General features: G+C 39.4%; 1 protein-coding gene and 1 long non-coding RNA gene across 3 annotated transcripts in view; one reads left to right on the top strand and one right to left on the bottom strand.

Moving 5' to 3' along the window:
* Positions 1–4,267: 4,267 nt before the first annotated feature.
* Positions 4,268–22,623, top strand: LOC105370152 (uncharacterized). Its single transcript, XR_941833.3, has 3 exons — positions 4,268–4,501; positions 4,801–4,888; positions 21,506–22,623. It is a non-coding gene; the product is annotated as an uncharacterized LOC105370152 (long non-coding RNA).
* Positions 15,609–22,839, bottom strand: part of RXFP2 (relaxin family peptide receptor 2) — a 63,864-nt gene continuing 56,633 nt past the window's right edge. For both annotated transcript variants that reach the window (NM_130806.5, NM_001166058.2), the window contains 2 exons: positions 21,579–21,797; positions 15,609–16,852 (listed from right to left, as the gene is read on the bottom strand). In NM_130806.5, the coding sequence (NP_570718.1) occupies positions 16,593–16,852; positions 21,579–21,797 (479 nt within the window). In that variant the 3' untranslated portion in view covers positions 15,609–16,592. The remainder of the gene's footprint in view (positions 16,853–21,578; positions 21,798–22,839) is intronic.

Below are 22,839 nucleotides of genomic sequence, written 5' to 3'. Positions count from 1 at the left end.
TAAGTTAAAGATCTTGAGATGAAGAGATCACCCTGGATAATCTGGGTGGGCTTTTAATTCAATGATAAGCAATTTTGTAAGAGACACACAATGGCGATTTGCCAGACAGAAGAGGAGAAGGCATTGTGAGCACAGTGGCAAAGATTGTAGTGATGGAGCCGTAGACAAGAAATGCCAACAGTCATCAAAAGCTAGAAAACACAATGAAAGGACTCTCTTCTAGATCTCCAGAGGAAGTGTGGCCTTGCTGACACTTTGATTTCAGACTTCTGGCCTCCAAAACTATGAGATAATACATTCTATTGTTTTAAGCTAACCAGTTTGTGATAATTGTTACAGCAACCACAGGAAAGGAATACATTGTATTTTTTAGCTCTACAATGTCCACTTGGTTCTTTTCCTATAGTTTCTATTTCTCTGATAGGGTTCCCTATCTTTTCATTCATTACCAACATATTTTCTTTTATGTCAAGCATAGTTATAATAGCTTCTTTAAAATTATTGTCTGCTAATTCCAACATCTGAGTCACCTTAAGGCTGAGTTCTTTTGATTTGTATTTTCTCTTGAGAATGAGTCACACTTTTCTTGTTCTTTGCATGTAGAATAATTTGAGATTGTATTCTAAACATTGTGACTGTGATTTTATGGAGAGTCTGTATTCTGTTCTATTTTTCTGAAGATATTGAGTTTAAAAAATTAGACTCAATCTGCAAATGGTAGATTTTGTAGTACCTACTCAGCCATTACCTTTTCTACTGATTTTTAGGCTTTCTGTTATATACCAAGATCCTCTATGTAGATCTGTTTTTAGGTATGCTATTCTGACCCAATGGATTATTCATCAGTTCTTTCATCATTACCACATAGTTTTAGCATTTGCATAGTAGGTTTTTTTGTTTTGTTTTGTTTTTTTGAGACGGAGTCTTGCTCTGTCTCCCAGGCTGGAGTGCAGTGTCACGATCTCTGCTCACAGCAACCTACGCCTCCTGGGTTCAAGTGATTCTCCTGACTCAGCCTCCTGAGTAGCTGGGATTACAGGCACCCACCACCACACCTGGCTAATTTTTGTGTTTTTGTAGAGACCGGCTAATTTTTGTATTTTTACCACGTTGGCCAGACTGGTCTTGAACTCCTGACCTCAGGTGATCCCCTGCCTCAGCCTCCCAAAATGCTGGGATTACAGGCGTGAGCCACTGCAACCATTCTGCATAGTAGGTCTCAATGCCTAATGAAATGATTTCCCCTTGATATTTTTTCACAATTATATCTGCCATTCTTGACTTCTTGTTCTTCCATATAAGTGAGAGTCAGCTTTTGAAAATTCTATACAGTTTCCAGTTGGGATTTTGATTGGAATTACATCTTTTATTATTTTCAACACATTTCCATTTTTTTTTTTTTTTGTAGATTTGGGGTCTCACCATTTTTCCCAGGCTGGTCTCAAATTCCTAAACTCAAGAAATACTCTCATCTCACCCTCCCAAAGTGTTGGGATTATAGGTATGAGCCAGCACCCTTGGCTAAAGTTTCAATTTCTATCATAAGGTCTTGAATATCATTGCAATTTGTAATTTCTTCCTGGATATCTTATGATTTGTTGCTATTATAAATAGTTCTTTTATTAATCACATTTTCTAAAAGTTTGATTTGATTTTACTTATTGATTTTATGCCTAGCAAACATACTGAACTTTCTTTTTAATACTAATAGCTTATAGACTTTCTTAAATTTTTCTATTGAATCAATTGCATAGTCAATGAATACTGAGAGTCTTATTTCTTTCTTTTACTTATTTTTAAATCTTTATGTATTTTTTTCTGTTGCTTTTTGTATGGCCTGAGACATGCAGCACAACTTTGAATAGCAGGCCTTCTTGACTTATTCGTGACTTGTGAAGAAATGGTTGTAACACTTCCCATTAATTACATTGTCCTAAAAAATAACACTTTTATCATGTCAGGAAACTTTGCTTTCTTTAGAAAGAAAGTTTGTTACTTTATCTTTCTGTCTCTATTCTGTATGGTTTCCTCATGTCTACTTTAATAATGTTCTCTTCAGCTGTATATAATCTGCTTTGTAAAGTATCCATTGAATCATTACTTTTAATAAATATGTTTTTTATTCAAGAAGTTCTTTTTTTCCCAGCTTTATTGAGCTATGATTGACAAATAAAAAAATAAATATCTTTCAGGTTTATAACATAATGCTTTGTGCATATTTATTGTGAAATGATTACCACAGTCAAGCTAATTAATATATACAGTACCTCGCATAGTTTCCTTCAAGTCTGCTGTTTCTTTTTTATTTTCTGTCTGATCTATCCATTGTTGAAAATGAAGTATTGAAGTCTCTGCTATTATTATATTACTGTTTGTTTTTCCCTCAGCTCTGTTAATATTTGCTTTGTATGTTTAGGTGCTCTGACTTTGGGTGCATATATATTTATAATTGTTATAGCCTCTCGATGAATTGACCTCTTTACTATTATATAATGTCCCCTTTATCTGCTGTGACAGTATTTGAGTTAAAATCTGTTTTGGCTCACGTAAGTGTAGCCACTCCTGCTCTCTGTTGTTTACTATTTTCATGGAATATACTTTTTCATTCCTTCCCTTTCAGCCTATGTTTGTTCTTAAAGATAAAATGGGTCTCTTGTAGGTAGCATATAGTTGGATTAAAAGAATCCATTCAGCGGTTCTATGTCTTTTGATTGAAGAATTCAATCTATTTACATTTAAAGTAATTATTGGTAGGTAAAGACTTTCTATTGACATTTTATTCATTGTTTTCTGATTGTTTTGTAATTCCTTTCTTCCATTCTTGCTATCTACATTTGTGATATGACTTTATTTTTGGAGTGTTATGCTTTGATTCTTTTCTCTTTATCTTTTGTATATCTGCTATAGTTTTTGTTTGGTTTTGTTTGGTGTGGGATTACCATGGGGCTCCCATAAAACATTTTATAGTTATAGTAGTCTATTTTAAGCTGGGAACAACTTCATTTCAACTGCATGCAAAAGCATTACACTTTCACTTCTCATCTCCTCACATGTTATTTTAATGATGTCATAATTTATATACTTTATACTGCATATATTCATTAATCCTTTATTGTAGCTATGGTTATTTTTAATACTTTCATCTTTTAATTCTTATACGGAAGATAAAAGTCCTTTAAACACCACTATTACAATATTATTCTGAATTTGACTATATTCTTACTTTTACAGTGCATTTTATACTTTCATATGTTTTCATGTTTTAGTTAGTATTCTTTTGTTTCAACCAGAAGGACTCCTTTTAGCATTTCTTGTAAGGCAGGTCTTGTGATGATGAACTTCCTCAGCTTTTGTTTGTCTGGGAATCTTTATCTGTCCTTCATTTCTAGGCAGCTTTGCTGAGTATAGTATTCTTGGTTGGCAGTTTCTGTCTTTTAGTACTTTTATTATATCAACCCACCCTCTCCTGGTCTGCAAAGGTTTTGTGAGAAATCAACTGATAGTCTTATGGAAGTATGCATGTATGTGATGAATAGCTTTTCTCTAGCTGCTTTCAAAATTCTCACTTCATGTTTTACTTTTAAGAATGTGATTATAATATGTTTTGGTGAAAATCTCTTTATGTTTAATTATTTGGGGTTCTTCAGGCTTCAAGGATCTGAATGTTCATTTACGTGTCCAGATTTGGGAAGTGTTCTGACATTATTTCTGTAAAAATGCTTTCTGTTTATTTTGCTTTCTCTGTTCTTTCTCATACTCCTATAATGCATACATTGGTTCAGTTGATGCTGTCTCATAAGTCGCATAAGCGTTTTTCATTCTTTTTTTAAACATTTTTTCCTCTAACTGAATAATTTCCCACAATCTGTTTTCGAGTTCACTGACTCTTTCTTCTATTTGATCAAGTTCTGCCACTGAAGCTCTCTATGGAATTTTTTTAGTTCAGTCATTGTATTCTTCAGCCCCAGAATTTATGTTTGACTTTTTATCGCTTCTATCTCTATCTCTTTGGTGAACTTCTCATTTTGTTCATATATTGTTTTCCTGATTTCATTTAGTTGTCTGTGTTCTTGTATCACTGACTGAACTTCTTTAAGATGATTATTTTGAAATATTTGTCACATAGTTTCTAGATCGCGAATTCTTTAGGGTCAGTTACTTAGTGCTTTATTTTGTTCCTTTCTTGGTGTCAAGTTCCCCTGATTATTTGTGATCATTGTGGATTTATGTTGGTGTCTGTGCATTTGAGGAAGTGGGCGTCTCTTGCAGTCTTTGCAACTGACTTCAGCATGGAAAGCCGTTTACAAATCAGCCTGTCCAGGGATTCAGGCTGGAACAGCTGGCGAGGCCTATGAGCAGGTTTACTGCTGGAGTCCTTGGGTAGGCTGCCTTGGTGACTGATCAGTGGGGACTTGGGCCTGATACCTTGGTCCATAAGACATGGGCCTGGTTCTGGGGCAGTCCTGGAGCCTCCATATGTGGAAGGCGTTCTGGAGCTGAGGTAGGCTTGTATGGAGTCTGGGTGCTTGGGGGACTGGGGGTGCTGTGCAGCTGGCCTGGTGTTGGAGTGGGCTTGGAGCTGCAGGAGCTGGGCTGGCTGTAAGGTTCTTTGGGGCTGGTCTAGTCCTCTGGTCTGTGGCAAAGTTGGGTACTCACTTCACTCTCCTTCCCCCACACAGAGGGTATCTCCCTCTGTGCATGCTGCACAGGCTTGGGTCATGGGTGAATGATATGGGTAATATGAAACAGTCTTTCCTTCCCTCTTCAATGTGTCTTTTCTTATTTCTGTGTTCCACCCAGGTGCCATAATCTTTCACCTGGGTTCCTTAGCTCTTGTGAAGGTATCTTCATGCATGGATGGTAGTTCAAACTGATGTTTCTTTGAAAGGTAAGTGCTGAAAACTCCTATTCTGTGCTATGTTGTTAATGTCACTCCCAGATAATCTTTTTTTAAGGCATTATTCACAGAGTTGTGTTCATTTTATGGTTTCAATTTCTTTTGTAATTCTTAAATATTCTTAAAGAATGTATTTTGTAGATTTTATCAGATATTTCTATTACCTGAAGTTTTTTGTTTTGGTTTGGTTTTGGTTTTGATTCTCATTATCATTTTTATGTGTTTGTTGAATCTCACTCATGGTAGATTATTTCCTCATGATTTACTAATTTGGGATTAAGAATTCATCCTCTGTGAGACGTTACCTGTGAAAGTCTATAAAGGCTAATATAAGGATATAACATTCTGGACTAATATAAGGATATAACATTCTGGGAGGACTGAGTTGGGGATATGTGTTTTGGAGAAGATTATGTTTAGTTCTTCCAATTACAACAGAGGTATCATATCCTAAGATAAATTTTTAGGTAAATTTCTTGGCTTGGGAGTTTATAGACCACAGAAAGTCTAAATTTGTAGTACAAATCCAAATGAATGTCACACACACACACATATATACACACATATTCATGTATATGCATACATACTTTCTTAAAATATCTGAGCTTAGAAATAAGAAAATAGGCCAGGTACAGTGGCTCACGCCTGTAGTCCCAGCACTTTGGGAGGCCGAGATGGGTGGATCACTTGAGGCTAGGAGTTTGAGACAAGCCTGGCCAGCGTGGCAAAACGTCATCTCTACAAAAAATTCAAAAATTAGCCGGGTGTAGTGGCAGGCGCTGTAATCCTAGATACTTAGGAGGCTAAGGCATGAGAATCACTTGAACCTGGGAGGTGGAGTTTGCAACGAGCTAAGATCATGCCACTGCACACCAGCCTGGGTGACAGAGTGAGTGAGACTCCATCTCAAAACAATGAAAAATAAATAAATAAAATAGGAAAATAATCTTGCTAAAATTACATGTGAATTATAGAAAAATGGGTTCTGAGTAGATGAGGATCTTTGTGATGATTGAAATTTATGAGATAAAGACATATCTATCACTTGTTGAATAATTAATTAGTTTCAGGCTATGTGCTAGAGTATATTTGTTTACTTAGGGTAATTTTGTGAAGTGGTTATTATTTTTTATATTTTAAAGATGAATAAACTGAGAAGAAATGGTAGCATCAGGCTATGTTACTCAAAAGTCACCTCTTACTGAATACATTCATTGCTGTTTCTCCTCCTCTAGTAATAATTCTCTCACTTCCCTGATTTATTTTTTCATTTAGAACTTCTCATCCTCTACTGTATTATAAATTTTGCTCATTTTCCTTTATTATTGTTTGTCTCACCTACTCCCCAAGAATGAAAGCTCCATTTAGACAGGTTTATGTTTTTACTGTTATATTTTTTTATCACCTAGAATATTTCCTCGCATAGTGGGCACTCGATAAATATTTGTGAATGGATGAATAATTCAAATGAGATGCTCTGTGCTTTTTTTCTATACACATCTTGCTTCTAAACTTTAATTTATGAATCTGCGACAACTGTTTGTCTTTAGTTCCTTAAAGTCCTTTAAAAATAGTGGTTTTTTTTTTAAGTCAGCTATGTTCTGAGAAGGTGAGGTTGCCAAATAAATTAATTCCAATGTGTGACATGGTTCTGTGTATGTTTGTGTCTGTGAAAGCAGGCACTTGTGAATAAATAATGCTTGACTTCCAGCAAATTAAATGCTATTTGAAAGCATATGGCAATATATAAAGTACTGTTCAGGTGTGATGTATTGATACTATTATTATGTTGCTATATGAGGGTTGTCAGCCAGTTAGACCCATGTTACCAAGTTAGGGCACTTATAGCAAGCTGAAAGCATAAAAATGAATGTTATCAATCAGTTTGTTTTCTTATGCACTCAATATAAGTGTCCATCTTACTTTTGGCCTCCATCTTGTCTTGACACTGCCTACACAGAGAGAGGCACAAACACTGCCTACACAGGGAAAGAGAGAGAACAATAGAAATATAGAGGTAGGACAGAGACCAGGAGGCAAGAAAGCAGACTTAGAGGGATAAAGAGGTACATATGTGTGTTCATGTGTGTGCATAGTATGTGGTGAGAGAGCAAAAGAAAAAGGGTCAGAAATGTCAGCAAAGTATTTGAAAGAGAGAGTAGGAAGAAGAGTAGAGAAAAAAGATATTGCAATAAGAAAGAATGTGCTATGAATAAAATTGATAAGACTGATAAACATGCAGGACTTAATCTTTGAAGTCAAATCTACAGAAGTTCTACAGTTATCTTGCTATGGTCGTTGACTTAGTCTGTTTGTGTTGCTGTAAAGGAATACCTGATGCTGGGTAATGTATGAAGAAAAGAGATTTATTTGGCTCACATTTCTGCAGGCTGCACAAGAAGCATGGCACCAGCATCTGATTCTGGTGAGGGCTTCAGTCTGTTTTCACTCCTAGTGGAAGGCAAAGGGGAGCTGGCCTGTACAGAAATCACATGGCAATAATGGAGGCAAGAAGGGGAGGGAGGTGCCAGAATCTTTTAACAAAAGGCTTCTGTGAGAACAAATAGAGTAAGAATTCACTTCCTCAAGAATGGCACTAAGCCATTCATGAGAAATCCACCCCCGTTACTCAAACTCCTCCCATCAGGCCCCACCTCCAACACTGAGGATCAAATTTTAATATTAGACTTAACAGAGCCAAACAAAACATATACAAACCATAGCATTCCACCCTTGGCCGCCAAATCTCATGTCTTTCTCATATTGCGAAATGCAATCATCCCATCCTAATAATCCTGGAAAGTCTTAATTTATTCCAGCATCAACTCAAAAGTCCAAAGTCTCACCTGAGACTCAAGGCAACTTCCTTTCAGCCATAAGCCAGTAATATCTAAACAAGGATTTTACTCCCAAGGTACGATGGTGATACAGGCAGGAAAACAATGGTGGTATAGGAAAACAATCCCATTCCAAGAGGGAGAAACTGGCCAAAAGAAAAGGGTAACAGGCTTCCACACAAGTCTGAAACCCAGCAGGGCAGACAATAATCTCGAAATCTCCAAAATCATATCCTTTGTCTTCATGTCCCACATCTTAGGCACAGTGGTGTGAGGGGTGGGTTCCCAAGGCCTTGGGCAGCCGCATCCCCAAGGCTTTGCTGGGCAGAGCCCATGTGGCTGCTTTCACAGGTTGGAGTTTAATGCTTGTTGCTTTTTTAGGCTGAGATTGCATCATGCTGGTGACTCCATAATTCTGGGGTCTGGAGTGCTGTGGCCCTGCTTTCATGGCACCATTAGGCAGTGCCTTGGTAAAGTGCTCTCTGCAGGGCTCCAACTCCACATTTATGCTCTGCATTGCCTTGGTTGAGTCGCTCTGTGGGGGCTCCACACCTGCAGTAGGCTTCTGCCTGAGCATCCATACTTTTAGATACATCCTCTGAAATCTAGGTGGAAGGTGCCAAGCCTCCCCAACTCTTACATTCTGCACACCTTCAGACTTAACAGCACGTGGAAGATGCCAAGGCTTCCAGCTAGAGTGGCAGACCAAGTAGCATCTGGGGCCTTTTGAGTTGTGGCAGAGATTCAGGGAATATACTTCAGAGGTCAGCAGCACCTCAGGCCATTTCCCCAAAACCATTCTGTCCTCCTAGGCCTCTGGAACTGTGATGGGAGGGGTGGCCTCAAATGTTTCTGAAATAATTTTTGGGCCTTTTTCCCATTGTCTTTACTATAAGCCCCTGGCTCTATTTTATCCACACCGATTGTTCTAGCAAGTGGTTGCTCTGAAGCATCTTTGGATTCCTCACCTGAAAATATTCTTTCCTTTTTGAACATGCAGCCAGACTGTGAACTTTACAAATTTTTATGCTCTGCTTTCTTTTTAATGATAAGTTCCAACTTTAGTTCATTCCTTTACTCTTGTGTCTGATTGTAAGCTGTTAAAAGCATCCATGCCACACCTTGAATGCTTTGCTGCTTAGAAATTTCTTCTGCCAGATACTCTAAGACATCACTCTTAAGTTTGGCCTTCCACCAAGCCCAAGGGGACAAACACAATGCAGCAAGTTCCTTGCTAGGTGTAACAAGGGTGACTTTTGCTCTAGAGCCCAATAAGTTTCTCATTTCCATCTGAGACTTCCTCAATATTGCCTTTTCTGTCTATATTTCTATCAGCATTTTGGTCACTACCATTTAACCAGTCTCTAAGAAGTTCCAAACTTTCCCTTGTCTTTTTTCTTCTTCTGAGCTTTGTAAACTCTTCCAACCTCTGCCTATTACCTAGTTCCAAAATGGCTTCCACATTTTCATGTATCTTTATAGCAACACTCCACTCTTCAGTACCAGTTTTCTGTTTTAGCCCACTTATGTTGCTATAAAGGAATACCTGATGCTGGGAAATTTATAAAGAAAAGTGGTTTATTTGGCTTACCATTCTACAGGCTGTACAAGAAGCATGGCAGCAGCATCTGCTTCTGGTGAGGAACTCAGTCTGCTTCCAGTCATTGTGGAAGATGAAGGGGAGCTAACCTATGCAAAAATCACATTGCAAGAGTAAAGGCAAGTGGAGGTGCCAGACACTTTTAAAATAAGCAGCTCTTGTGGGAACTAATAGAGCAGGAACTTACCCACTTGAGAGAATGGCAATAATCCATGCATGAGGGATCTGCCCCGTAATCCAAAGACCTCCTGCCAGATCCCATCTTCAACATTAGGGATCACATATCAACATGAGACTTGGTGGGGCCAAACAAACCATATTCAAACCATAGCAGTTGTTTTCTTGAGGTGTGACTTTACCTGCCCTTGGAGATGATCTTGTTAGATAGCATGTCTGGCTCCAGGTGGTTTCACAAGGCTCATTTGTTGAATGAATAAATGAATGAGTGGATGACAACAGAATTTTAGATGATTGCATTTTGGAGGGATTCACTTTCTTGAAAATCTTATTACTTTTGAATTATGTATTATGTCCAACCCTTTTCTTATTGGCTTACAAAGAGCAGGGCTGGGTAGAAATAAGAAATTCAAAGGAGGTGAGGAACCAAGAATATCTAAGGGAGAGCATGAAATGCAGAAGATCGGACAATGACAACCAAAAGATTTTCTGTTTCAAAGCAATGGAATAATACAGCACTCTAAGGTTATTGCCTGTGACATAAAAACAAGGAAGATGCATCAATTAATACCACTGCCTCAAACAACCATCATGTGAATTGAGATTTTTTACTCCACTACTCAGTGCTTCTTCAGTAGGGTCTGTGAAACTTTTCCTTAAGATCACCTTCTAGATTTCATGCTCTTAGTTGACATGTTTGTGCCTTATGATTTGGTCCAGGAAAAAATAAAGAAAAAATAAGAAGTTAGGAAATGTATATATGGACCCACCAGGGTTCTCATCTCCCCTCTCCAGCCTGGGCCACTTATTTATTTTAACCTTTTGGAATTTTCTATCCTGTTTAATAAAAATCCCCCCTCCCAAATTTAGGTGGGTCTTGAACCCATTTGTTAAATATATAAAAATCTATTGCTTTTAGATGCATTTATGAGAATAGCCTATTTTCATCAGGGAGGATAGAATTTCAACAACTACATTAGTATATAAACATATATAATTTTTTTTTTTTTTGAGATGAAGTTTCACTCTTGTTGCCTAGGCTGGAGCACAATGGCACAATCTCGGCTCACTGCAACCTCCGCCTCCCAGGTTCAAGTGATTCTCTTGCCTCAGCCTCCCGAGTAGCTGGGATTAACAGGCGCCTGCCACCAGGCCTGGCTAATTTTTGTATTTTTAGTAGAGATTGGGTTTCACGATGTTGACCAGGCTGGTCTCAAGCTCCTGACCTCAGATGATCCAACTGCCTCGGCCTCCCAAAGTGCTGGGATTACAGACATGAACCACCGCTCCCAGCCATAAATATTTTTGGGGCAGGGTTTCACTTTGTCACCCAGGCTGCAGTACAGTGGTACCATCATGGCTCACTGCAGCCTCGACCTCCTAGGCTCAGGTGATCCTTCCACCTCAGCCTCCTGGGTAGCTGGGACTATAGGGGGTGGGCACCATGCTGTCTAATTTTTTGTATTTTTTTGTAGAGATAGGGTTTCACCATGTTGCCTAGGGTGGTCTTGAACTCCTGGGCTCATGCAATCCACCCACCTTGGCCTTCCAAAGTGTTGGGATTACAGGCATGAGCCACCGCACACCTGCCTCAACAAAACTTATTGTATAATTTTTGGATCAGATTAAAAAGCGAGTGTCAAGATTTAGTAAGAAAAGTCAAAATAAGTTCACTCTAATTGTATTTATGTTTTTAATAGAGATTTTTACAAATGAACTTATCTATGACAGCTGTAGACAGGTTGAAGTCAGGGAGATCTGTATGGAGGGCAAAGATCAGGGAGCCAAGAGTAAATCTCCAGAAATTTCTACATAAGTTTAAGGGCCAAGAGGAGAAAGGGAAGTTCATAAAGATGTGAGAAAGAAGAGCCAGGGAAGTGGTTCAGAACAGAAATGAATGGTATCCTTCATTCCAAGAGAGGAGTTTAGAGATTGAGAAAATGGACATCAGTAACTAATTCTCCAGGGAGGCAAAGTAGCTGAGGAAAGGCAAATGCTCACTGGATTGTCGTCCTGGCAACCTTAATGAGGACAACAGGCTCCCACACAAGTCTGAAACCCAGCAGGGCAGACATTAATCTTTAATGTGGTGTGGTGGTGTGGTGAGTGTGGAAGCCACATTCAGTTGGTTGAGAAGTCAAAGTGAGGTAAGATGTTGATGACAAAGAGCTTATCATTATTTCAAAATGTTTAGCTGTAAAGAGCATTTGAGAACAAGACAGAAGCTATAAGAAGGTGTCGGGTGGTAGGAATGTCTTTTTAGGTGTGAGAAATGTGAGCATTGAGAGCTGAGGGGAAAGAGCCAGTAGAGAGGAAGAGAAGTTGATGATACACAGGAAAGGGTGTGTTGCTGATGGTGCAAGACTTGAGATAGGCATCAACCTTGGTTAAGAACCACATGTTCTATCCTGGTTCTATGGGGAAATTAAATAGTTATCTCTTTATCCTACAACACTTTTCCCAGGAATATACCCACTCATACATGCTAGACATTCCCGTGCATTTACGTCTGGTTTAGAGAATAATGTAGGCAGTAGTAGACCTACACTTATGTGAAGAGACTAGTCTGTGATCTGTGGTAAAACGATTGCATGTTAATCTTCCTGATCTCTGCATTCCTAAATTTTGCTAGCAATAGGTTACCTAATTTTTACCTGGTGCTTACTGTTGTTCTTTGGTTAGCTGCCATGGTTTAGAAAAGCTTCATTGTCTGAGGTTTGCTTCAGCTTTCTTTTCACAGCAGAATGGGGTCCCGTAAGCCTCCCCTCAAAGGACTGGTTTTCTGAACATTGGTGCCCTTTGCATTGACTCTTCATGAACAATGTGTAATATCCCAGGGGAATTGAGAATGGAATGATCTTTGCACTTGATGTAAATTTTTAAATGCTTACCACTTGGACCTTCAGCATGTGGTTTTATCCACAAAACGGATTTTGACAGACAGGGGACCAGTCATCTGTTTATGTGATTTGATCTTAAGGAAACTCTATTACAGATAAGGGAAGAGATGTAAAGATATTTGTCTGAGGTCATGTAAGCAGTTGATGGTTGAACTAAAACTACAGCTCCAGCCCCCTGCCTTTTGACCTTTATTTCCTTACCTTAAATGTGTGTTGCCTATAGCAGCAAAGGGTATGGTTTCCATTAAAAATAATTGCTGAATCAAACACCCTAGCATCACGAATTCAGAAATTTGTGAAACCAGTAAAAGCATTATTGATTCTCAGGTGGTCTAGAAATAATTTTTTCTTATATTGAAGCCACTTATGAGCTTATAACTCAAAATAGTTATGAGTTTGCTTAGAACTTAGAGGTAAGAAATGTCACCATGGGCTTCAGACAGCAGAAGGTTCACATTTCTGGATGTGCAGTTTTGTAACTTGGCCTTATTCTTCCCAATTTCTTCATTTTTAATTTACTTCTTCCGTATGCGGGATGTGGGGAAATATCCTGAAGACAATTCTAATGAAATACGTTGAGTAATAGGTTCTATTAGTTTATAGGGCTTTAGGAAGTATTTCTCAAGGACTTCGAAGTCTCCTACTGAAAAGCCCTTTAAAAAGAGAATAGTCTAATTTCATTTAATTTTCCTGGCTCAAAAATGAAAATGATCATTACTAAATATGCATCTTACATCCTGCATAAACAGAATGTCAGAAAACTGATATATAGGCCGGGTGCGGTGGCTCACGCTTATAATCCCAGCACTTTGGGAGGCCGAGGCGGGCGGATCACGAGGTCAGGAGATTGAGACCATCCTAGCTAACACGGTGAAACCCCATCTCTACTAAAAATACAAAAAATTAGCCAAGCGTGGTGGTGGGCACCTGTAGTCCCAGCTACTCAGGAGGCTGAAGCAGGAGAATGGCGTGAACCCAGGAGGTGGAGCTTGTAGTGAGCCGAGATTGTGGCACTGCACTCCAGCCTGGGCGACAGGGTGAGACTCCGTCTCAAAAACAAAAACAAAAACAAAAACCTGACATATAAACAGGCAAATATATAAGCAGATCTTTGTAATGGCTCTCCCTTTCTTTATTCAACAGGGTAAGGGAATAAGGAAATACAAATTCTTATCTTTAATTAATATTTTGTTTCTTGAGTGAAGTTGTCTAAGGCAACTTTGTAAGTGCCCATTTATGCTACATTGAAAACAATGAAAAAGGAATGTGCCTTAAAGTATTTCTGGTTAATTTTGGAAGATATATTTCTGTCAGCTCCCCTTGGGCCATTTATAAAATAATAGGTTAGATATGATTGGTGACACTCTATGGTTTCTCCTTTCTATCATGTGCACTCTCGGGAGCTCTGTATTGCTTACTAACTTGAGGATGGTAAGGTAAGTCTTTACCTTGGGTGAGATAAAGTCTTGAAAATGTAGCATGAGCAAATCTGTAGCAAATCACCAAATATGAATTCAATCTGGCAGCAGAGTCATCCTTAAGAGATAAACCTTGGGGTGATGGGCCTGCTTTTGTGGCTTCATGATGCCATGGAGACCTGCTGAATGGAGCTGTGGAGCTGGGGTGTAGGGTAGGGTTGGGGAAAGGTGATAGTGCTACCTGTACATAAAGCTCAAATAAATATAATTTATCCTGAAGCTCCTGACCATCAAGAGGCATTTCAGCAATTGCAATGGACATGAACTCTTTTGATAGAATAGTTTATGTCGATTGCAATTTCTGAAATAGCCTACTGAATTAAAAAAAGCTATGAAAGCTATGAACAAAAGCCTCTAGGATGAAGCAAAGTTATGTAAACTATCTTATCAATGTCTAACACAAATAAAACACATACCCTTTTTCTGTACACTCGTCTGAAGCTCCATATTGATTTTTGGGGGTATTTTTTTCTTATCCTCTTCAAGACATCAGTCATATACAGATGCATAGTTAGGATGTGGAGCAGATGATTTGCCCACACCCTCTCCCACTCAGAGATGGCACCGTCTGTGGCCTCTGAAATTCTGCAGTGACATTTAATTGATGCTTAGATTGTCATGGAAAATGGTTCATGGACACAGGTGATATTTTCATAACCACACAGAAATACCATGTTTAGAAAACAGGCTTGGCCTAGCACAAAAGTTCTCACTCAATCCACATTAAAGACTATTATTTACTAAAATAATACAAATTTCTAATGGTTTTCTATTTGCAGAGCAGTACAGAATAAGACTATAAATTACCAAGCTATCAGATATGAAGTTCATGCTATTTGTTGGCATGTTGCTGACCTATGTAGAGCTCCCATTTTTCCATACAGCTGCCACCTTCCCCAAAGCATCTGGTTGCGTGCCTCTTCTCATGCCCACTCACTGCACTACAGTAAAGTGCGGGCTCTTACATGGTTCCCAAAGACTTGGTTCATGGACCACGGATGATGCTTTTCAAGAACGGGAGACACACATTGGTGCTAAAATTACAATACCCTAGGCTCAGGGTCTACCCCTTATTTATGCTCCTGGTGTTAGAAAATGTATTAGGAAATAAATCGTAAGATGATCAAGGACTGGCAAAGACATCTGATAAAATGTCAGCAAACCTGGAAAACAAGTTAGGAAGCAATTCATCATACTGAAGAAACAAGATGGAGAAAAATTTAAAGCCATAAAGGAAAGGGTAGCATAGTCAATGAGTGGGAACATTATTTCTAGAATCCTAATGAAAATCTTTTATTATACATGAGAAATATCTTACTTGATCAAAATGAATGAACTCACGTTATGATTTTAGTCAATAGTGAGTAATAACAAGTAAATTACCAGAATGGCTGAGACCCATAAACTCTGAATTTCTTTCTCTTCTGGATGCTACTGGATAAAGGGTGTCCATTTAATATGTAATAGGAGGTATTGTGGTGGTCTTAGTCAGCTGCTTACATTTTATCTCATTAAAGGAACTCAGAATGAAGTGAACAGTGAAGAAATTAAGTAACTGCCTCATGCTGTGGCAAAAGGGGAAGAGAGAAAAATATAGGATGTGTCTTGTGAACTGAAATGCTGTGTTTCCTGGCTGTATTCTTTATCAGGAGAAACATGCTTAACAGTCAACAAACCCCATCCATGGTCTTTGTTAAGCTTAAATTAATATATGGACAAGTGCAAAATATAATTTTATTTACCCAGTTCTCATTTTCACATATAATTTTTTTCAGTTTCGTTTTCAAAAAACCACCCCAAACTTCATTGCTTTTTTGTTAAAAACAATGAGAACAAAACCATTGTGAGTATGCAAACAGTCCCAAATAAAACCATAATTCTTGAATCCCATTTAACACTTCTTATCTGCATATTTTATGAAAGCAGAACTTGCCAGCAATAGGGATACTGCTCTAAAGAAATTATACTTTAAGAATATTAAAGTGTACTTTTTAGCAGTGAAAGTGTCCAATTTGTTTGTGCCCTGGGCAACCTTCAGAAAAATATCTTAAGAATTCATCTCTTCTGATATTAAATAAAATCCAAAAGGCAAATGGTATGAGGCTTCATCAGTGTGACTCTCTGGTCATAGGTTAGACATGGTAACCTGGTTGGAAGTTCTGTTTTCAAAGTGGCTACTCCACCGGCCTTCACAGAGGAGGACTTCGGGTAGATGAATATTTTGGAAATCCTTTGCTATCAATCCAGCAGGATGCTGATGGTTTTATTTGATATTGAAAAGGCAAGGAAAGAGTTGTTAGATTTCTGTTATTATGGCCACACTGGAATCAGATGTTGTGAGTGTTTCTATTTCATGGACAGTGCAACCCGATGTGAAAGACCACACAGTGCCAACCTGTGGTCATTTGTTGGTGGGTTGTGTTGATTAGCTAGAGATCAGCTGCACCTCAGCCCACTATACACGAATTCACATGTGCTTTTCAGGCATGTGGGGTGAGGAGAGGAACCTTTGGTGCTGTCCTCAGCATGGTTGGTAGATAGTACAGCTGCCATTGGAATGCAGTGACAGGAGCCATTCTGCTGTGCTCTCTGTGCAGAAAGGCTTGCCGTTGGTAAAGATGAAAAGCATTGCAGATGTCATCTTCCAAAAGCTGTCCCCTGTTTTAGGTAGTCCACTGAAAGTCCAGTGATCCAAAATGATTGCTAGGAAACTGGTTTCATTATACTGTCTCCAAGTGTTATTTTGTTCAAAACCCCAAGTTTCAGGGAAGAGGAGTCCTCTATCCACACAATGGATGTAGATAAACTTTTTTTTTTAATTTTGAAAATTGATTTCCTCTGATGTTTGTGCAGCAGCTGTTTCAACTTGTCCTTAAAAAAGTTGGTTGTGAGAGTATAGAGGATTGGATTCAAAGCACTGTTAACTGGAAGGAAAAAAATCACTATCCAGGAAGTCATTGTGTCTGGAAAAGGAAGCAAAGTGTGAAAAAAAAGTTGAAGTTTTAAATAGACATAAAATACAAATAACACTTTGCAGTCAATGCTATTTATGAGAGGGAGACATAGTACATTTTAAGTTTTCTCTCACCTGAAGGAAAATCTTTGTTGGAAGAGCACAGAAGCTATGAATTCAAGGTCTTAACGATTTAACTTTTCTGAGTTTCAGTAAATAATGTGAAGGTCATTGTGATATTAACAGGAAATATGTGAAAACATTTTGTAAACTATAAATTGCTATATAATGCATTTTTTCCTATTTTATCACCTTCCTTTATAGGAAAATAAAAAAATAAAGAAATAATCTTTAGTCAATAGAGTGAGGTTCACAAAACTTCTGGTCCCCTGGACCAAGCCAGATCTGACCTTGGTCTTAACTCCATCCAGTTCTCAAAGCTTATTGCCCTGCCCTGGTGTTCTGGTTATCCTGTTATCCTATTAAAAGCTTTGAAGAGCAAAGAGGAATGCATTCCCTAAACTTGATGAAATTCTCTTGTGTGCAGCCCTACAAATGCTAATAGAATATTCAGGGAAAGAGGTCACAAGAAGTTCTTTGTGAGGTGAAATTTGGAATGATAGTGTCCTTCCTGAGAGCATCATTTCATTTGCTTGGTTAGCACAAAATGCATCTTTCCCTTTACACGTGGCCTGATCCTGTGGCCGGACACTTAGCTAGGTTGAGTGTGAGCGAATCACTTATGCTTCCTCAACTTCATCTGCTCTCTCTGTTAAAGGGGGCTGGTGATAACTTGCTCACTGAATCCAGCGGGCTGGGCCAGAGTCAGCTCTGCTGATGTGCTTTTTTGGTACTAAGACTTGAGATCCTCAAACCTTACCACAGGACGCTACTTCCTCTCACATCTTCACAATTTCAAGGAACTCCCCATTCAGGTGAAGAGGTGGCTAGTAAGACCCATGATGCTTTCTCTCATCATCCTCTGCTCTCCTCCTTCGCAATCTCATAATTTTTTTTATCCTTCAGCCACTGTTATTTTGTTCTTCTCTTGACCCTGCCTTATTTCTTGTATCTTTCTGTTCTTCCTCTCTATGTCTTCTTCCTTTTCCATTTCTTCTCTGACTGCTTATCTGACCTTCCTTCTTCTTTTCCTTTGATCTCTTTCCTCTCCTTTTCTATATTTACCTTCCTCTCTTCCTATCCTATCTTCTCTTCCTTGTCCTTATTTTTTAACTGAAAGGAATATGAAAGAAAAAAATTATGTTTTAGCCTGTCTTAAATTAAGTTTTATATTATTTGTCCCTAATTTAAAAAAATTAGACAATCTGAACAGTTAGTGATTGAAGAAAAACAAAATAAGTGGCCTTTTTCTGTTGTGCCCACAAAGGGAATTGTGATCACGAATCCCACCCCAATCTCACAGAAAAACAATGCCTGATAGTGCCTGCTTTCAATTAGGCAAAGGCAAATAGGCCACGTAAGTTCCACTCTGAATGAAATCAGGCATGTTCAGGGTGGTATGGCCATAGACTTAAGTTCTACTCTGAATGAGACTTCTTTTTGTTTTTGTTTTGTTTTGTTTTTGAAATGGAGTCTCACTCTGTCGCCCAGGCTGGAGTGCAGTGGCACGATCTCGGCTCACTGCAAGCTCTACCTCTTATGTTCATGCCATTCTCCTGCCTCAGCCTCCTGAGTAGCTGGGACTACAGGCACCTGCCACCATGCCCGGCTAATTTTTTATATATTTTCAGTAGAGACGGGGTTTCACCGTGTTAGCCAGGATGGTCTTGATCTCCTGATCTCGTGATCTGCCCACCTCGGCCTCCCAAAGTGCTGGGATGAGACTTCTTATAAGATTAGCAGCAGCTGAGTTCTGAGATAGGCTAACTCTGGCCTATCTTTTGGGTGACCCCAGGTACTGTCAGTGGCATGCCATAACCAGTAAATGCCAGACTTCTTGGAGGGTGGGGACAGGGTTGGTTTAGGTCAGTGAAGGCAGCATTTCTTACAACGCCATGGGAAGCTGGGCAAGCGAGAAGAAGCTTTGTCAACTGTGATCATGACATTTTTCCTGGTTCCACTGAGGTGTTCAAGACAAACCTCAGACTATTGAACTATACATGTAAAGAAAGACTGGTGTGTGGCTCAATAATGTTTCCACAAGACAATGTTCTACTCTTCTAGTTCCCTTCATGGGGGTATTTACTAAGCTTATCATGATCTGAGGTGTCGTAGACTCGCTGAGGATGATGAGTTCTGCTGCCATGTGAGGACACAGCAGAGCGGACGCCTCCTGTGAGGCAATGAGAAGGGCTCAGGAGAAATCAAACCTGCTGACACTTTGATCTTGGACTTCCAGCCTCCAGAACTGGACGTCCTTTGTTATAGCAGTCCTAGTGGCCTCATACAGACAGAAAAAGCCTCAAAGAAGATTAAAACAGGCAGGAATTTGAGGGACCATCTAGAGGTAGTCTCATTGAGGTGAGGTGAGATGGTCTCCCTGAGATCACTCAACAAGTCAGTGGCAGGGGCAGGAGAGGAACCCAGGACCTCCGCCTTACTTGTTGCTGGGTCCTTCTTCCACCACACTAGGCTGCGTCCCCCTACAAGTGGGAAAGCACATCAAAAGGTGTGGAGACGGGGTCAGGCTTGGTGGTTCACGCTTGTAATCCCAGCACTTTAGGAGGCCAAAGCAGGGGGCAGATCACTTGGGGTCAGGAGTTCGAGACCAGCCTGGCCAACATGGTGAAACCCTGTCTCTACTAAAAATACAAAAATTAACGAGGTGTGGTGGTGCACTTCTGTAATCCCAGCTACTCGGGAGGCTGAGGCATGAGAATCGCTTGAACCAGGGAGGCAGAGGTTGCAGTCAGTTGGGATCACACCACTGCACTCCAGCCTGGGCAACAGAGCGAGACTCCATTTTTTTTTTTTTTGAAGAAAGTGTGGAGACAGTAGTGGGGAGGGGGTTGATGAGACTGATCCCCTATTCCATCACTCTTGGACCAGCTCACCTTCTTTAGTTGACTAATCATTTACTCAAAAGCACTATGTGAAAAACACTGTGGAAAATGCACAGAAGAATAAGACATACACGCCTCCCCAAGCTTATCATCTGAAGGACACAATGGACACACTAAGAAATAGTGTCGCTATGAGGCAGTTCACATGAGGCCAATAAACCTGGTGTAAACAAACCATCATGGATGTTTAAGCAACTGGATTGCATGAAAGTGGGGTGAGAAGAGATCGAAAATGGCACTGCACCATAGAAGAGGGAGTATTTGGGTTGAGCCTTGGAGGATGGGAAGTGGTGTTTAGTACGCTAAAATCTTAGAAGGTGAAAGTATAATCCAGGTTGGGGGGACAGCTTCAGGAAAGGCTGGTGTCTTCTCAGAAAAGCATAGAAAACAAAGCCCAATCATTCCAGTGGGCCTGGATCACAGTGTACGAGGGTGGGAGGTAAGAAATATTATAATGCTCATCCCAGCACTTGGACTTTGTTCCATGAGCAATGGAGGCCAACGGACACTTTTGTCCTGCTGAATTTGAAAGGTTAGGGTGTAAAATTGAGATGTCCAGGTAGCAGTAATAGATTGGAGGCTGTTCATCAAGTGAACAACTGTGACTATTAACATTTAATTATCTCTGTTCTTCACGTGCAACTGGGTCTCCCCACATGACCTCCCACAAAACCCTCTTATGGCTTCTTCTTTCACCACCCAGCAAAGGCTTCCAAGTATTCAGCCCTGACCTGATCTCCTTCCTAATTTTCACTTTCGTATCCTACACGGCCTGAGGAGCATCTGTGCCATGTGGAGACAGAACTGATAGCTTAAGAGGATGTTGTGAATGTTGTGTGGTATTTTGCAGCAAGATATTTGACATAGCCTCACAACTGAGTGCACAGGAGGGACATAGGTTGTTACAGCTGTTTATCGTCTGTGCATTCATCACTCTTTCATAAGGGCTATCAAAGTATCAGGCATCCTGCTTGACACTGAGGAGTCAAGATGTATAAGACACAATTACTGTCTTGGATCAACTCCCAAGTAGATCTGCTATCGGCTGGAACAGTAGGTTGACGATGATTCCAAACTATTTTACTGAGAGTTAGGTTAAAGCCCTGGGTGGTGGCCCCTAAATAGCTGTGATCTCTAGATTCCAGAAGGGGCTTCAGATGAAATTCTGCTAAGGAAAGGTGATTTTCTCTGGTTGAAGTAGAGGTGTGTTCAGGGAATTTGGCCTTTTGGAGGAGACTCTTTCAGGAAATATCTCGTGCTCCGCAGAGCCCAGCATGACATTTTATGGCTAGGACCATGGAATAGAATGGTGGTTCTAGCCAGATGAGTGTGCATCAGAATCACAGGGGAATTTTTACATAACATCCATCTATAGGTTTTAGCCTCTAGAGACAAAACAGTCCCGGGTGGAACCTGGGCATGTATATTTTGATTGTTTTATGCATACTCCTAGTGAAGAACCAATGTCTTGCTCAGATAGAAGCAAGATACTCAGACTTAGTTTCTCTGTAGCTCCTGCTTTTTATTATTCCTGGTTGGATTGCACCACTACTCAGTTTCTATTTTATAATACTGATTATAAAACATGGAGGGAAATAACTTTGTATTGGTTTTTATGAATAATTTATTATGTGTCCTAGACTCTGGCCTTGTCAAAAGAAGGACGTAAGAAGGCACGATGTATTATACTTGGGAATGATAGAAGAGACTGACCTGGTATTTCCACCCGGAAGAGGGAAAGGATTTTAACTACAAATACAGGAATCCAGCAGATGGCATCAGAGAACACTATAAAAAAGAAACGATTTGCAACAGCCACCTCTCTTCCAAAACAATTCCTTACTTCTGTGGTCTGCAAGGCGGTTTTTTGAATGGAACAGAACATAGTAATATAGGAAAACACAATGATGAGAAAAGCCAGCAAGTTCACACCTGTTGGGAAAAGCACACTTTTAACATCTCAGGCGTAAAAGTCAACAGTAAAATTACTGTGGTACAGGTTGAGTATCCCTTACCCAAAATGTTTGAAACCAGAAATGTTTTGGATTTCGGATTTCGGAATATTTACACATTCATAATGATATATCTTGGAAATGGTTCCCAAGTCTAAACACAAAATTTATTTATGTTTCATATACACCTTATACACATAGTCTGAAAGTAATTTTGTACAATATTTTAAATAATTTTGGGCATGAAACAAAGTTTGCATACATTGAACCATCAGACAGCAAAAGCTTCAGGTGTGGAATTTTCCACTTGTGGCATCATGTTGATGCTCAAAAAGTTCCATATTTTAGAGCATTTCAAATTTTGGATTTTCAAATTACAAATGCTTAACCTGTACTTAGATGTTAAATACAGTGCCTCTTCCACGGGCACTTCCAGGAAGCATTCTTTTATATAAGCCCAGTGGTGTTAGGTAAAACCCAGGTTCAAGGGAATAAAAACAAAGAAATTGGGTTCACCAGATGAAAAAGAGATTTCAAATACATAAACCCTTATGAGGAATTATAGACTTCTAAAATTCAGATCTAGGCATATCATGAAGTAAACTCTAGCTCTTTTAAAGCATGAAAAGAAGCTATTTTTGTTTTCAGCTCTCTGCAGATTCAAACCTTAAGGGATTACTGTAATCATATGCACATCTCAAAAAATAAAAACAACCCCATTTTCTTATCCTATAAACATGAATAATAAAAGAATAAAAATAAATAAAAATAATTTTAATAAATGAATAAAATAACCTTGGAATTTATCATGAATATAATTGTCTGAGAAACATTATTCCTAATGTTTTTGGTCTTAAGAATAACACATAGTTGGGAGGCCGAGGCGGGTGGATCATGAGGTCAGGAGATCGAGACCATCCTGGCTAACAAGGTGAAACCCCGTCTCTACTAAAAATACAAAAAATTAGCCGGGCGCGGTGGCGGGCGCCTGTAGTCCCAGCTACTCGGGAGGCTGAGGCAGG

Source organism: Homo sapiens, chromosome 13 (genome assembly GCF_000001405.40).
Source record: "Homo sapiens chromosome 13, GRCh38.p14 Primary Assembly".
NCBI lineage: Eukaryota > Metazoa > Chordata > Mammalia > Primates > Hominidae > Homo > Homo sapiens.
The sequence above is the reverse complement of the archived record's forward strand: the minus strand, read 5'-3'. Positions and strand labels throughout refer to the sequence as shown.